Raw genomic sequence first — 16,940 nt, 5'->3', positions numbered from 1 at the left:
GCGAATGAACTAGTTAAATACTGTCTGTTATGATTCTGCCTCAATTTTGCTGTTTTTAAATGTATGGAAGTGGGTGGGCTTTTTTGCCCCCCCCCCCAAAAAAAAAGAAAGTTTTGTTTATGAGCCCGCTTTGCAGAGGGTAGGGAGGGGAGAAGTGGGGACAGAAAGTGCCATCGTCATCCCTGGGCTGTTTCTTCTTTAACATCCAGGAACTGATCAGTCTAGGGAAACCCAGGCAGTCCCACCTAGTGTTTGCTTCAGCAGAAGCCTACGGTGCCATGGAGTGAGCCCCAGCTACAATGGTGGGGAACAGTTCCTGTCCTCCTGTGAAGACCCTCCCCTCCCTGGGGAGTTCAGAGTCGTGCGAAACTGTTTTGGAGGTGTTCAGAAAGCAGTGGAACAATACATTGTTTCCCATTTTTCTGGATCCAGGAAGGCAGAAATGTAGATGATGAGCAGTGATGAAATCAGTCAGGGCAGCCAGGGTCGGCCCCAGGAGCCCATGGGGCTGAAGAAGCCCAGGCGAGTTGAGAGCCCCCATCTCTCTGGGCCTCAGTGTCCTCATCTGTGAGAGACCTGGAGTGACTAACTGGCAGTGACACCCTTCGCACTCTGATGGTCTGTGCACAATGCACTCTAGTCAGCCCGCTCAACACATTTCAGGGCTTCTTCCTCCTGACAGCAGCTGAGGCGCAGGCCGGGGACCTCACTTGAGCTCTGCCTGAGCCCCCATGCCTGAGAATAGCCCAGACTAGAATTGGTACTGAGAAAAGGGGACCTCACAAGGCGTAGAAAGGCGCCTGTCAGGAGGCCCCAACAGGCGGGTCTCAGCACAGGGAGAGTAAGCCTCCAAAGGAGTGAGTCCTCCATCAGGGCTGGCTGGGTTCTGTACCATCATGTGCCTCAAGAGGGTGCACTCTGACAGCTCCAGTTTCAAACCACATGCACTAAGGCTGAGGGAGGACTCAGGTGGGTGCTGCTCTCAGATCCCCCTGGATCTCGCACCTTGCTGTGCGCCCCTCTCCTGGCTTCACTGTGCTTTCACCCTAATGACTGGCATGTTTTCCACTTCTGGACTTCAGACCCTTCACAGGGGGTGTCAGTTAATGGGTCCTGGACAGGACTGAACGCTAGGAAAGAGTCTTGGCCATTTCCCAGAGCTTGAGCCAGACCTCCAGAATTCTCTCTGGCCCATCATTCATGTATTTCCAGCCTTCCCTAATCCCCCCGCCTTCTGCTGATCCCATCCCCCAACTGCCTGTCTGCCAATCAGTGAATCATATGTATGTTGCCTTCTACATGACAATGGGCACAAAATAGTTAAATCAGGAACCCGATGCCCCCCTCACACACCCTCTTCCTTGCCCTCAGCTGCTAGAGCCTGGAGGCACATTGAGTGGTATCACACAGACAGTGCCATCAGGCCTGCGTTTTGCCCCAGACCCAGAAAGAAGCCTCTCCTACCCTAACGTTGTTTTAAGTGCACCATTCATTATAGATTGTAGCGGCAAAGAACACGGGGCAGGGCAAGGGACCCAACATCAAGACCCCAGAAACAGGCTGAGGGCTCAGGCTCAGGAAGGAGAGGCCAGGGAATGAGAGAGGGTGAGAAAATGAGAGGAGATAGAGCCGGAGAGCCAGAGGGAGAATAAGCACAGGCCATGCAGCCCCTCCACCCTCCCATCCCTCCACACTGGCAATCAGTCTTCTACAGAGCACTCACGCCAGCAACGCCACACTCCTTCATTCAAAAACCAACACGATGGGTCGTGCGCAGTGGCTCACACCTGTAATCCCAGCACTTTGGGAGACTGAGGTGGGAGGATCACCTGAGGTCAGGAGTTTGAGACCAGCCTGGCCAGCATGGTGAAACCCCATCTCTACTAAAAATACAAAAATTAGCCAGGCATGGTGGCACATGCCTGTAATCCCAGCCACTCAGAAGCCTGAGGCAAGAGAATCACCTGAGCTTGGGAGGCAGAGGTTGCAGTGAGCTGAGATCATGCCACTGCACTCCAGCCTGGGCAACAGAGTGAGACTCTGTCTCAAAACAAAAAACAGACATGACTGCCTACTGAGCCCATAACAATCAATAAGAGTCGATATTTAGAGATTTTACTTTGAACATCTGCAAATACAAAGATAATGAGCTAATTGTCAAAAATCAAAATAACTAGATACAAAAGGAGTCCAAAATCAAATTACACTGGCTGCCTCTTAGTCCATTGGCTAAGGATAGCAAGTCACCTTAGAGTCCTTGGGGAAACCTTATTAGTTATGCAAATTAAGGCTTTTTTTTTTTTTTTTAAGAGATGGAGTCTCGCTATGTCACCCAGGCTGGAGTGCAGTAGCACGATCTGGGCTCACTGCAACCTCCACCTCCCCGGTTCAAGGGATTCTCCCGCCTCAGCCGCTCGAGTAGCTGGGACTACAGGTGTGTGCCATTACGCCCGGCTAATTTCTGTATTTTTAGTAGAGATGGGTTTTCGCCATGTTGGCCAGGCTGGTCTCAAACTCCTGACCTCAGGCAATCCTCCCGCCTTGGCCTCCCAAAGAGCTGGGATTACAGGCATGAGCCACCACACCTGGCCTATATTATTTTTACATATACACATAGTGGCAGAGGATGTTAAGGCCCCCAGGGATATAAGGCGTTTAATACCTTATTGCTGATGCCCTGGAGGAGTGTAACAGGATTTTGTGGTGCTGTGAAGGCATGCTCCTGCCTGAGGCCCCTACATCTGCAGAACCTGGAAAAGGGTTGGACAGTTTGCGGTAGGAGCTGGAGTCTTCTGGGAGCAAAGGGTCTAACATCCAGACTTGGGGCCAAGAAAGTTGTCAGGGCAGACAGGTCTGTGGGCAGGAAAGCCTAATTGAGGGTGTGGACCCAAGCTCTAACCAAATATCTGAGGTCTGGGACCTGAGGGTTTGTGAGGGAAGAACTGGACCTGGCAGGGCCCTTGGCTAGAGCCTGTGCCTGGTTCTGAGGGTAACAGCTGAGCAAGTGAGAATCAACTGAGTCAATAACTTTAATGAGAGCGTGAGAATTCTCACTGCAGAGGGCAAGCATCTATCTGTCCAGGACCAGACTTTGACAGGGATGCGCTGGCAGTGATCACAGCTTGGTGCCCAGAGGTAAATCCTCTGTCATGGCAGAACAGTGCTTTGAGGGGCGATTCTCATGACCCTGGTAGTAGAAGCTCGTCGGGACTCATGCAAGTGAGTAGAAACACTAAACCAAGAGGATAGAATTTTTATTCCAAACTGACGGTGTGTTTCAAAAAAAAAAATCTTAAAACAAAAACAAAACAACGTTCCAGTCTAAACTAGAATGAGCAGTGGGAGAGTTTGGCAGAACCTCTAGGAAGACAGGAAAGGCTATTCTGTTAACAACCCTCTCTAGGGTGTCTACCAGCACCACCCCCAACTGCCAACAGAGGACCCTCCACTGAGATCTCATTCCGGTGCCCGCCCAGTCTTCCTTTCCTCTTTGGTCAACTTTGTAAAGCCCTGGAGTGAAGAGCTCCTCCATATAAGGGGTCCAGAGTAGCAGCCCTATGGCCATCTCACCAAGGGTTGGCTCTGCCTGGGGGAGCACTGCCTTCCACTACAGGACTCGGGACAAATGCTAATCCACCCATCCACTGGCCTCCCTTGTACCTCCGGGAAAAGGACCAATCCATTGTTGCTGAGAACAGACAGAGATGCCTGGCACTCCTATGACAGTCCTTGGTTCCTGGCCGTCTCTCCCCTCACCCCTCTTTGTCCCTAGGAAGCGACATCCCTGTTGCGCCCGGCCTCGCAATCCACATAGGAATCCACATCCACAGCCTGCCGAGCAAGCATCACTCGGCCTGCATTACTCTCCATAATAATCTCATATATCAAAGCTGGGAGAGACTCCGGCTCTGCATATGAGCGACTCTGTTCGACGCTGAATATCATTATCAGAAGCCCCTCGCTCCCTCGGCTTCGTATGCAAACTCCTGAGCTCCCAGGAGTCCTTCCCGAAGAAAGTGCCCTGCACGACGGACATTTGTTATTTTGCCGGAGAGGACGCTAAGGCTCCGCTGGGACCCAACCAAATCAACCGTAGCCTGCAGTTGACCAACCAAGACCTACATTGTCACCTAGTGGCGTCTCCGGGAACTACAGCTGGCTCCGGAGGGCTCTGCCAAAGCCGCGTTCAGAGACGCCAAACAATGCCACTGACGCTGCTGTCTCCAAGTATCCGGGAAGAGGACGGAGTGGGAAACAAATTTTTGTTTTCACCAGCTCTTTGGTGATAGACAAACCAACAATTCGTGTTCAAATATATTAACTTAGCAAAGAGAAGGAGAAATTGAAATCATAGCTCTTTCATCCATCTCAGGATAAAGCCAGGTCATGAAGAAAAGGAAAAGAGGAATAGATAGCATAGATATACAAAATATATAGATGCACAAATTTTTCAAGCAGTGTAGGGTGTACATAATATAACTTTTTTATTGTTCCATTATACAGTTTTACCTTTATTTGGAATCTCCAATCCTCATAATGGCAGAAAATTAGTCATGGTCATTTCCGGGTAAATTCAGGCATTTTATATGTAAGTTTAGTTAATTAACAAGTGTTCTTTTTCTTACCCTGGCTCCTAGGCTTAGAGATCTACCTCATATCTCAGTCTCAGGGAGAGGTGTCTGCTCCCCAGACCTCCAAGTGGAAGTTTGTCGCTGACACTTCTGCACCTGAGTCCCCAAACTCTATCTGGAGAATTCGATAATACCCTCCAATACTTCTTTACATCTAATCGCCAGAGGAGGACACAGGGATATCCCTTCTTGGAGACCATGACTGCTTTTCTCATTACTTCCTCCCCATTTCACCTCTTCCCTCAACTCAGCTTTATCTAATCTGGGGTTGGGAAGAGGGGGAAAAAAACTGATTGAGCCAATATACAGTTTGCTCAGTTTTTTTTCTATCTTATATCTGGGTTGAGAACTTTTATCTTAAAACTCAAGAATTTGGCATATTCTTCACTGATTCCACTGTGACAGCTTCCATAACCAATGGATATCTTGCATCTACTTCCCCAAATGGTGGTTGGAGGAGGAATCCAGAGAAAAGGGAGTGTGGGATGGGAGGACCATAACTGGTGAAACCTCACATATTATCCCAGCTATGAGAGACAGAGGATGTGAAGGACACAAACCAAATATTAACAGAGTTCACACCCAGGGCATAAGACCAAGAGAAAGAAGGGAGAAGCTTTTGGTTTTACATCTTTCCATATTGCTTACATTGTTTTTACAATAAACATGTATTTTTTTGGAAATGGATTTAATTAGTCTAAAGATTAGAGGTTAAGGATGGATGCAATGGCTCACATCTGTAATCCCAGCACTTTGGAAGGCTAAGGTGGAAGGATTGCTTGAGCCCAGGAGTTTGAGACCAGCCTGGGCAATATAGTGAGATCCCACCTCTACAATAAATTTAAAAATTAGACAGGCATGGTGGCGCGCACCTGTAGTCCCAGCTACCTGGAGGCTGAGCTGGGAGGTCAAGGCTGAAGAGGGCCGTGATTGTGCCACTATACTTCAGCCTGCAGCCTGACATATCAAGACCCTGTCTCAAGAAAAAAAAAATATTAGAGGTTGGGAGATTAACAACACCTTATTTCCCCTCCTCTTCTTGCAATCATAGCCTGTGAAAGCTGTGCCACAGAACAGCAAGTAGAGTATGTCCCAGGAGATGAGGCACTGCTGTCTCCACACTCGTCACCCTGTCCCCATCATTGCCTCTTCTAGAAGACTGGAGTCAGCAGGGCCCCAGTCATGGAGCCAGGTTCCAGTGCTTGGGAAATCCTGAAATAAGTGCCTGCCGTGTGCTGTGCCATGTGTCTGAGCCCTAAATAACAAGTGTCTTGTGATCATCTGAAGCTGCCTGAGGACCAGAAGCAGCAGAAAGTCTTTTCTTTCTTTCTTTCTTTCTTTCTTTCTTTTTTTTTAATTTAATGGAAGAAAAGTCCAGCTTAATAACTTTAATGGAGAAAGAAGGAAGCAGTAGAAATTTGTGGAGACTCCAATCACATGTCCTCCACTCTGCTACCCTGGGCCCAAAATAAGGGAGGAGACACTCAGAGCCAGGTGTTTCCCTTGATGGGAATGTGATCAGGTGTGACATGGGCTCACAGCCTCACTGAGGCTGGATCTTTTTTTTCTGTTCCCTCTGAGTCATGGTAGTGTTCAGAAGGAATTATTTGGGTATTTTGTTACTTTACTTACTTTACCCCATCACAATCAGTGCACTTTCCTGAAATGGAATTTTATTTTGATTATGGAAATTTTCAACCATTACCTCTGCAAACATTTCATTTTCATTCCCCTGTTCTCACTATTTTTCTTATTCAGAAACTCTTCTTGGATGTGTGTTGGAATTCCTCAATCTATCTCCCATGGCTCTCAACTTCTTATTCATATTTTCCATTTCTTCATCTTTTGGTGCTATGTTTTATGTACATTTTCTCTCTCTCTCTCTCTCTTTGAAACAGGGCTGGGTGCGATGGCTCATGCCTGTGGTCCCAGCACTTTGGGAGGCTGAGGCAGGCAGATCACCTGAGGTCAGGAGTTCGAGACCAGCCTGATCAACATGGAGAAACCCCGTCCCTACTAAAAATACAAAATTAGCCATGAATGGTGGCAGGTGCCTGTAATCCCAGCTACTCAGGAGGCTGAGGCAGGAGAATCACTTGAACCCGGGAGGCAGAGGTTGCGGTGAGCTGAGATTGCACCACTGCACTACAGCCTGGGCGACAAGAGTGAAACTCCATCTCAAAAAAAAAAAAGAAGAAAGAAAGAAAGAAACAGTCTTACTCTGTCACCCAGGCTGGAGTGCTGTGGTACGATCATAGCTTATTGCAACTTCAAACTCCTGGGCCCAAGCAAATCCTCTCACTTCAGCCTCCCAAGTAGCTGGGACTACAGGTACATGTCATCATTCAGCTAATTTTTTTTTTATTTTTAAGAGATGGGGTGTCACTATGTTGCTCAGGCTGGTCTCAAACTTCTGGCCTTTCAATGCACTGTGAGCCCATTACAGACAGGCGCCAATGCGCCCAGCATTTCTATCTTTTAATTCACTTATCTTTCACCAGCTATTTTCACCGGTTGTCTATCCTGCCTGTTGCAGTCTTTTTTTTATTTCCAATAGCAATATATTTCATGACTGCCTATTTTTGTTTAATAATATCCTGCTCTCATTGCAAGGACACCGTTCCCTCCTTACCATTTCAGTATGTAACATAATGTTAACCTTAAAACTAATTTTTTTAAGACAGGGTCTCACTCTGTCTCCCAGGATGGAGTGCAGTGGTGTGATTACAGCTTATTGTAGCCTCGACCTCCCAGGCTTGGGTGATCCTCCCCACTCAGCCACCTGAGTAGCTAGGACTATAGGTGAATGTCACCACACCTGGCTAATTTTTTAATTTTTTGTAGAGATGAGGTTCTGCCATGTCGTCCAGGCTGGTCTCGAATTCGTGGGCTCAAGCAATCCATCTGCCTCAGCTTCCAAAACTGCTAGGATTACAGGTGTGGGCCACCACACCCAGACTAAAAGTCATATTTAAAAATCATGCCTGCCACCTTTTGAAAGCATATGAAAAGGACTGAGTTGTTAGACATTTCCAAGGACATGTGAAGAGGATGTCTTTGAAGAGAGCTGTTGAAGCCCTCTGAGTCTCATGGCCCCAGGGAAAGGGTGGAATGGAGCAGATGACCTCTTAGCCCCAAGCTTAGGGTCCCATGCAGACAGCTTGGTTTGTGTCCCTGCCACTAAGGAAGAAAGAAGGTGGGAGCCTGGCTCACCTTGAGGAAGCCAAACAGCCTGCAATGCAGAGTGGAAGGCGGCGTCTAGGAAAACCGGAGGCTAAGGAATAAAGTTTTAAAAAAAATGTGTTGCCTACATCATAGGAGTGACAGTCTGAGTTTCAGCAGGGATGCCTACAAAAAACTCACAAAAGTGCCCATAGGAGAAAGAATCAGCTTTAAACCTCAACAGGGCCCAGAGAGCCAAAACCAGCCTTCAACTGTTCCAATCAAGTAAGACCTTCCTGAGCCCAGTTCCCTTCTTCCTTTCTTTTTTCTTTTAATTTTTATGGATACATAGTAGGTGTATATATTTATGGGGTACATGAGATGTTTTGATACAAGCATACAATGTGTAATAACCACATCAGGGTCAATGGGGTTTCCATCACCTCAAGCATGTATCTCTTTGTGTTATGAACATTCCAATTATACTCTTTTGGTTATTTTAAAATATTCAATAAATTATTGTTGACTTGTAGTCACCTCATTGTGCTATCACATACTAGATCTTATTAATTCTATCTGACTCTATTTTTGTACCCATTAAGCATCCCCACTTTTTCTCACTGCCCTCCTCAGCCTCTGGTAACCATCCTTCCATGCTCTATCTCCATGACTTCAATTGTTTTAATTTTTAGTCCCCACAGACGAGTGAGAACATGCAAAGTTTGTCTTTCTGTGCCTGGCTTCTTTCACTTAACATAATGACCGCCAATTCCATCCATGTTGTTGCAAATGACAGGCTCTCACTCATTTTTATGGTTGATAGTACTCCATTGTCTGTATGTGCCGCATTTTCTTTATCCATTTGTCTGTTGATGGACACTCAGGTTGCTTCTGAATCTTGGCTCTTGTGAACAGTGCTGCAATCCCTCTCCCCTTCTGGAACTCCAATCCCAGGTGGGTGCACAACAGCAACAGATAAAGGAGGAGGAGGAAAAAAAGAGAAGCTGACCACACCCCTCCCTGAAGTAAGAAAGCTCCTTGCTAGAGACCAAAGAGGCTTTATCTTTTACAAGAGTTTAAAGTGGGCCGGGTGTGGTGGCTCATGCCTGTAATCCCAGCACGTTGGGAGGCTGAGGCAGGTGGGTCACCTGCGCTCAGGAGCTCAAGACCAGCCTAGGCAACATGGCAAAACCCTGTCTCTACAAGAAATACAAAATTTAGCTGGTGCAGTGGCACGTACCTGTAGTACCAACTGCTGGAAGGTTGAGGCAGGATAAATCACTTGAGCCCAGGAGGTCAAGGCTGCAGTGAGTCGTGATCCTGCCACAGCACTCCAGTCTGGGCAACAGAGTAAGACCCTGTCTCAAAAAAAAAAAAAAAAAAAAAAAAAAAAAAGTTCAGACTATTTTCCTATCTGGGAATAGACTATTTTAACGTGAATTGAAACCATGGTTTCATGTGACTACCAAGCATTTTATTACCCAGGAATGATCAGAAAGTCATCCACTGGTAGGGGAAATACTGCCCCCAACTAGACAAATTTTAAGGGAGGATGAGAGACTTTCTGTGAGACTAATTATCATCCTTTCAAATGGTTCATAATTTCCACCTCTCCTGTTATTAATTTTGCTTCTTAAGCCTGAGAAGTATGCCTCATGATAAATTTTGACATGTCCTTTGCAATTTTTGTTTTATAGCTCATTCTGCGTGGGAATTCTTTTTTGATGGACAGACTCTTCCACGTTAGGTGCTTTTGCGGTTGCCTGAGCCCTTTCTTCCTGATTTGCACACCCAGGAGCAGGTCTCATGTTATAGAGTTTGGGGTGTTGGTTCTCAGCCAAAAATATTTCTGATGCAGCACCCATGTGCAGCACCAGCCTGGTTCTCATATTTACATCAGTGCCCTTTTCTTCCTGCACCATGAGCAAGCAGCACATTTCTGGAGTGTTTTCAACCCCAGCTACATGGAGGGAGCATGGGTCGGGTCTCCTGCCAAGCATAGGCATGTTCATCCCCATTCTCACATAAGCTTTAAAGCCAGCCTATGTATATCCAACTCCTTCTACCCCTGGGCTACTCTTAACCAGCTTATCCTGTAAGTTTACTCTTCATTCTTAGTACGGAGAGAGAGGGAAAGAAAGAGTATGTGTGTGTCCCCATCATTCCTCCAGGTTTCGAGGCAGTTACAGAGAGGGTTTGATGTGTGCTCACTCCACCATCTTGAGCAGATGTCTTCCAGTCATGTCTCAGACACTATTGAGCAAGATGTAGGCCCCAGCCACCAGGACATCTCAGCCTTCCAACAGAGTGGACAAGCCCATTTCCAAAGTGGCAACATCTTCACTCAGTGATGGGAGGAATTTGTTTATTAGTGGCTTTGGCAGGAATCCCTCCCTCTCTCGCCTGTCTTGCCCAGAAGAGTGGACACCTCTCCAAGAGAACTGATGTTGGAGAGTCTGGCTCAATATTCTAAGAAGCCACCATGCCAGAGGCCTCCCTAAGCCCTCCTTCTCACCCCAGAGGCTTGACTGTGGACACAGGACTTTTGGATAAGAATCTCAGGTGTAAATGCTGGTATCACATAGACCAGACTCTCCCTTCTGCCCTAAAGGGCTCAGAAGACTCTGGGCCTCAGTGGTGCTGCTCACAAGCTCCTGCTCTCTCCTATGGCTACACCACCAACCCAGCCTGGCTTGAGCTTCCCAAGCCTGGAAGCTCCAACAGCCAATTCAGGTAAGAGGGGCAAGAAGAGGGGCCTGGGCACAGCTCACTGGGGCAGATGGGGAGTCTACACCCCAGGAGGTAACCTGGATGTTTCGGGAACTGTATTAGTCTGGCATGGAAGCAGCCCATCTAGTGTAGCCCACAAGCCTCAGAACCCACAGATCACCCTGTCTGAAAGCAGAGCAAGTGGCCAAGCAGCAAGGCTGGATTACAGTCAGTTCCAGTCGGCTGGAATCACTGAGTGCTGACTGTACCCCCGCCACAGCACTAAGAACATTGCACGCTTGTCTCATTTAATCCTCTCCCTATCCTAATGTGGGAAATGTTGTTATTTGCTCCATTTTCCAGGTGAGGAATCAAAGCTCAGAGAGGCCAAGGAATTTGTCCAAGGTCACATAACTTTTAAGTGATCGAGTCAGAACATGGGTAGTTTGAGTCTGGAAGCCACACTGCCAGTCCCTCTGCTCCGCTTCCTCTGGCACTGTGACTCTCCAGAATGTTGAGCTGGTCCCCACTACATCAGCTCTTATGGAGAAGTGTCCATTTTTCTGGGCAGGATGAGAAGGGCTGGTGCTGGGCCCACAGCAGACCAGGGCTGTGGGGAGTAAGGAAGGCCTGCAGCATGGACAGGTAAAGAGACCCCTGTCCCCACAGACAGTCAGAGCCCAGTGCCCCTCCACAACAATCTGGTCCAAGCTCCTTGTTCACTGGGACAGAAAATAAGGGTGAGAAAAGTGACAGTGAACTGTCCAAGGTCACACAGCAAGAAACCAGCTACACCAGGACCAAAACGCATCTCTAAACAAGAGCAGCCTCATCCTGATGCTTCGGAACCCACCATCCTTCTGCACAACCCAGAGCTGTTTTCCATTTCTTATTGCCTTTTTGTTTGTGTATGTGTTTGTGATTTTTTGAATGGCAGATGACCACACCCACCCCAGGAGATTTTTCTTCAAATGATCCGGAGCGAGGCACAGGCATCTGCCCTTTGTAATGCTCCCCAGTTGACTCTAGCATGCTGAGATCCCCTACTCCAGCCAACCTTGACTTGCTCTCCTTGGTGCTTCCCTCCTGCATCCATGCTTTTGGAAGGAGTGGGCTGCCACCCCTCCACTCCTCAGTGGGACACGCAGCTGCCCACTATTAACACAGCTCTCCTACCAAACCCAGGGGCCTCCTCTCTGAGCGGCATAAAATGCTGCTAATCACCTGTGCTGGGATTGCTACACCTACAGCCTTCCAGACATCCAGCACCCCAAACCCAACACATCCCAACACAAACTCATCATCCTTGCCCCACGGCCCTGGACTCCTCCGTTTCCTTCATTGGCTGCACACATTGAGCACAAGCTAGGTACATTGTGAGGCCCCTCATGCATGAAGTAGAAAAAGTGTCATTAAAGGTGCATGGAAAGCTTTTTCCTTTCTTTTGTGATCTCTTTCTAGGATTGTCATGGTGGGTTTTTTAATTATTATTTGCTGTTTAATGGTATTCTAAGTGAAAAAAAGTCAAAAAATTAAAACTGTTAGTACAGTCTCTTTGCTGCTCATTTTATAGTGTGCAATGACAATTTTAAATGCAAATACCAGAGCATTTAGCTGGTGCAGAATCACCGAAATTGCACAGTTCTTCCTTCATGGCTTGTCCCCAGAGGGTGCCATGAGCTGGCCAGAAGAGGCACACCCAAGGCAGACTCAGGGAAGTATAGAAAGAGGAAGAGAGGACTGGGCATGGTGGCTCACTCCTGTAATCCCAGCACTTTGGGAGGCGAAGGCCAGTGGATCATCTGAGGTCAGGAGTTCAAGACCAGCTTGGCCAACATGGTGAAACACTGTCTCTTCTACAAATACAAAAATTAGCCGAGCGTGGTGGCAAGCGCCTGTAGCCCCAGCTACTCAGGAGGCTGAGGCAGGAGAATTGCATGAACCCAGGAGGCAGAGGTTGCAGTGAGCCAAAGATGATGCCACTACACTCCAGCCTGGGTGACACAGTGAGACTCTGTCTCAAAAAAAATAAAAAATAAATAAAAAGAAGGAGGAAGGGAGGATTCCCCAGGCACAGGGCCACCCTGTGACACAGCGCACATGCATATGCACACTGCCTGCCTGTGGGTTCCACCTCCCACCAGCCAGCCAGTGCCCCTAGTCTCACCTGGGGGTAGGGCCTGGAAAACTCAAGCAGGTGCCTCCACTTCCCACAGACTCACAGCCCCAACACACAGCATAAGGCTGATCCCCAGGGATCTCTAAACCTCCATGCTGAGATGCACTTGGTACCTGGATAGGGGGTAGGGAGAGGCGCAGACACATCATAGCAATGCCAGCCTGAAGTAAAGACAGCTACCACCATGCCATGCCCCAAGACATCACAAAGTGTGAGCACCCAGCAGTCTCTGAGCCCCCACCTAGGCCCCTGCAGAGGTGGAGAGCAGCAATGGTCCTGGGGTGGAGGCAGGGAAGAGGAGGTCAGTCACACACGGAGCCAGGGGCAGGGGAGCGGGTGGCTGAGAACCCATGCCAAGGAGGCAGTGCAAGGTGGGCCCACATGTCAGCTGAGCCTCCAAGCCCCTGGCACACTGCATTGTCCCATTGGACTTCACTTACAAAACACAAATTCAAAGGTAAAATTAAGAATTTCGAAACAGTAACCACAGAGCACTAAAATCCAAGGGGGCGGGAGCCTTGTGAGCTCAGAGTGCAACTGCACTGGCCACATGCCATGAAGCTGGCCCTGACCACAGGTCTGTCCATGCTCCCTCTGGGAGCCCTTGCCTGGATAGTGGCAGCCACCAGGCTTGTCTCCGTTCCTCAGATCCTCCTTTGCTTTTGGCCCTGCCCTCTAAGCCAAAATTATCTAGACCCAGGACAGACATCAACCCATGAGCTGGCTCAAACAGATTCTCTTTCAAAAGAATTTGAACCAAGGGGCCCAGATCCAGAAACTGGTTACTGGTGGAAACCTGGAGCTGGGAAGGTCACGAAGCTCAGGGGCTGGGTTGGAAGGGGATCAGTGAGGACCTTCTTCCCTGAGAAAGAACAGGGAACAGCATAGCAGTAAGAATGCAGGGCAGCCTGTAATCCCAGCACTGTGGGAGGCTGAGGCGGGCAGATCACTTGAAGCCAGGAGTTCGAGACCAGCCTGGCCAACATGGTGAAACCCGGTCTGTACTAAAAATACAAAAAAATTAGCCAGGCATAGTGGTGCACCTGTAATCCCAGCTACTCAGGAGGCTGAGGCAGGAGAATCGCTTGAACCTGTAACTGTGGAACATGTGTGTTTAGCCAATCCTTTCAGCATAAAGCTCCTATCCCAACCCCTCCTTCTTCAAAGTGCCTGTCTCTGGTCTTGGCCAGAGGCAGGCTTTCCAGCCTGTGGGATGGCCACCTTGCAAGCTGTAACCTTTTATAAGAAATTTAGAAAAGTCCTATTGAAAACTTTTTTTTGAGTCCGAATCTCATTTCTACATGTTGATCCAAAAGATCTCTCCTTTTCTAAATTTATAAATTTTGGCGTTTTTTAAATAAGTTAACAATATGAACTGTAAGTTTTCAGGGCATTTCAAAGTGTGCGTGTGTATGTGTGTGTGTGTGTATACTTGCATGTGTGTATATGTGTGTATTGATGTATAAGTGTGTTTATATATGTGTACATTTATATATGTATGTATTTATGTATGAGTGTGAATGTGTGTATATGTGTATGTGTGTATTTGTATGTGTGTATGTGTATGTGTGTATATGTATGTGTGTATGTGTGTATACGTATGTGTGTATGTATGTGTGTGAGTGTGTTCGTGCTCTGACTGAAGTTAAATACTTAAATACTCTTGGAATTAATGACACTTATTGCCCAGTTTGTCAGCTTTGTACAGGCTTATTATGAAGTTTGAGTTAATTTATTTCTTGAAAGAGAATTTTCTTTTTGATCAATGTTGTGGAAAAATTTTTTTTCAGCAGGACTTTTACTATTAACTTAACGATCCCCATGCACTAAGAAATGAGGGGGACTGACCACCAGCCAGCAGCCGGAATCCATCAAACTTCAATTCCTAAGCATCAGTGTTATGGGTCCTTCTAGTGCAAGAGTATAATCAGTTTCCCAATTTAATTGTGATATTTTATGTGGCATTGTGTGACTCAAAGTCGCAACTTACAGGGTCATTCCACTCATACTCCCCTTGAGCTATACAACTTCTTCTGACTGATGTATTTGTGTTTCCTAGTTTTTGTTTTCTTCATCTACACAACAGACGAATCACTAACACCAACATAATACCAACATGCCAACATGTAAATGACTTGGCAGATCCTCTTTTTTTTTTTTTTTGAGACAGAGTCTCACTCTGTCGCCCAGGCTGGAGTGCAGTGGCGTGATCTTGGCTCACTACAAGCTCTGCCTCCCAGGTTCACGCCTTTCTCCTGCCTCAGCCTCCCGGGTAGCCCACCACCACGCCCGGCTAATTTTTTGTATTTTTAGTAGAGACGGGGTTTCACCGTGTTAACCAAGATGGTCTCGATCTCCTGACGTCGTGATCTGCCCTCATCGGCCTCCCAAAGTGCTGGGATTACAGGTGTGAGCCACCGCGCCTGGCTGACAAATCCTCTGTTTTTTTCTCCATTTTCTCTTACTACTCGTAGTCTTTTGCTCCTTTTATGTATCATCTTGGACTCATGGCTTCTCCAATCCACCATATGCCCATTGGCTTCAGCCGATACTCTCCTTTTGACATTCAAGTTGCCTCAACTTTGGCCAGCAGAACCCCTTTTAGATGGCTCCTCTGTCCTTTTGACTCTACTAATTTATTCAAACTTTCTTGATTTCTGGCCTTGTTGTTCAGTGTTTAGGATTTCCTTGAATTTCCAGCTCAAAGTATGGAATATGCCATTCCTCCCAAGACGCTTTTGGTAAGAAGAGCATTAGAGACCAGAATGTGGGTGCCAAAGTGCATTGTGAGGTGACATGGCTCCTGGGCATTTCAATAGACAGAGAGACAAAGGATACGTATTTTTAATTTACTATTTTTGTTCTTTTAAAAGCTTGAATTTATCTTGATTTTTTCAGTCCAGTTCTAACAATAAAGTGTTCCTCATCAAATTATTTTTTTACTTTTTTCTTTTATTTTTAGCTGACACATAATAATTGTACATATTTATGGGATAGAGTGTTTTTCTTTAGAAATTTTAGTTTTATGAATTCCATTAAGGTATTTTTTGCTTGGTTTGAAACATCAGTGCCATTCTGGTTTTATTTTTTTTTAATTTTTTATTGATAAGTCATAGATGTACATATTTTCAGGGTACATGTGATAATTTAATACGTTCACCTCACTGGTAAAGATTAAATCAGTGTAATTGAAATATTCATCACCTACTCAAATTCTTGATTCTGCAATTGTAGTTCCTCTTCTCCTATGCTAAGAAGTCTAGATTTCTAACAAAATAAATGATCACTTATTTGTCTGGAAAAATTAGTTCTAAAATAATATTACAACATTAATGCAAATTTTCCAATTATCAAATACAGCTCAACTTTTCTAATAGTTCTTTTTTGTTTATTTTTAGACGGCATTCCACTAAGGATTTGCTAAAAATCTCTTTGCTCTAAACTCATTCATAACCTCTGACTCTTTGGCTCTGTATAGAGCTTTGGCTCATCTGTTCTCGTTTGTTTGCAGTTTGAGAGCCCTGGCATCAGAACAGCTGACAGACCAAAGCTCTAGAGGGGGGTGACTGGCAGCCACCAGGAAACAGGGGATCCTCCCTACCGTGAGGTGATAGAGGAGCCTCCAGCAGCGCAGTGGCCAATATTCTGCATGACGGTTGTGTTTCTCCATCTACAATGGTTTAATACATGGGTATAATCCAGATTGGCACACATGATTTCTGGCTGAATTAGCCAGTTTTGCCCCTGACATTTTATCTATCAAACCCATGTTACTTTCACAGGTTTAGGAGTTTGTTTGTTTTTTTCTTTTTCTTTTTAATTCTGTTCTTATCTTCCAAGCTTTTAATTTATCTTGCTCCTTTTTATGAGCTATAGGCTCTCCCTCCTTTTATAATATTCTACACCCCCTTACCAACCTAATATATCAGGTATGTGTTATTACATCAAGATTTTCAGTGAAAAATCAAAATGGTTCTCCCAATCAGTAGTTTCTTGACCCAGAACCAAAGTTTTTTATTTTCTCACAGGAGGATCAGATTCTTTATGATTAGCCAAGAATAGTAGCTATAAATGCAGTATCTTAAGATTTTGGCCCAAACTCTCTTTTGACTTATGAATAAAAATGTAGACTTTGCTTCATATATATTGCTGTCATCCTTATTTTAATTACAGACCAATAGAGTGTAGATTTCCAAATTCTCAGAAGTCTTTGGAAAACACAATTACCAACTACCTTAACTCTATAGAAAATTCAAACT

At 46.2% G+C, this 16,940-nt stretch overlaps 4 annotated features.

Annotated features, from left to right (window-relative positions):
* Positions 3,499-4,365: an enhancer, noted in NCBI's record as "NANOG-H3K27ac hESC enhancer chr3:136751222-136752088 (GRCh37/hg19 assembly coordinates)". NCBI's record gives its function as "activates a minimal SCP1, AML or CMV promoter by ChIP-STARR-seq in naive H9 embryonic stem cells {active_cell/tissue: H9 hESC(naive)}" and the evidence as "EXISTENCE:reporter gene assay evidence [ECO:0000049][PMID:30033119]".
* Positions 3,947-4,016: an enhancer, noted in NCBI's record as "active region_20593". NCBI's record gives its function as "activates an Ori minimal core promoter by ATAC-STARR-seq in GM12878 lymphoblastoid cells {active_cell/tissue: GM12878}" and the evidence as "EXISTENCE:reporter gene assay evidence [ECO:0000049][PMID:35858748]".
* Positions 8,661-8,861: a silencer, noted in NCBI's record as "peak4841 fragment used in MPRA reporter construct". NCBI's record gives its function as "represses an SCP1 promoter by STARR-seq MPRAs in K562 erythroleukemia cells {active_cell/tissue: K562}" and the evidence as "EXISTENCE:reporter gene assay evidence [ECO:0000049][PMID:32103011]".
* Positions 13,177-13,677: an enhancer, noted in NCBI's record as "H3K4me1 hESC enhancer chr3:136741910-136742410 (GRCh37/hg19 assembly coordinates)". NCBI's record gives its function as "activates a minimal SCP1, AML or CMV promoter by ChIP-STARR-seq in primed H9 embryonic stem cells {active_cell/tissue: H9 hESC(primed)}" and the evidence as "EXISTENCE:reporter gene assay evidence [ECO:0000049][PMID:30033119]".

This window comes from Homo sapiens, chromosome 3 (assembly GCF_000001405.40).
Source record: "Homo sapiens chromosome 3, GRCh38.p14 Primary Assembly".
NCBI classification, from domain to species: domain Eukaryota; kingdom Metazoa; phylum Chordata; class Mammalia; order Primates; family Hominidae; genus Homo; species Homo sapiens.
Note: the sequence above shows the minus strand (reverse complement) of the source record. Positions and strands in the feature narration are given on the sequence as shown.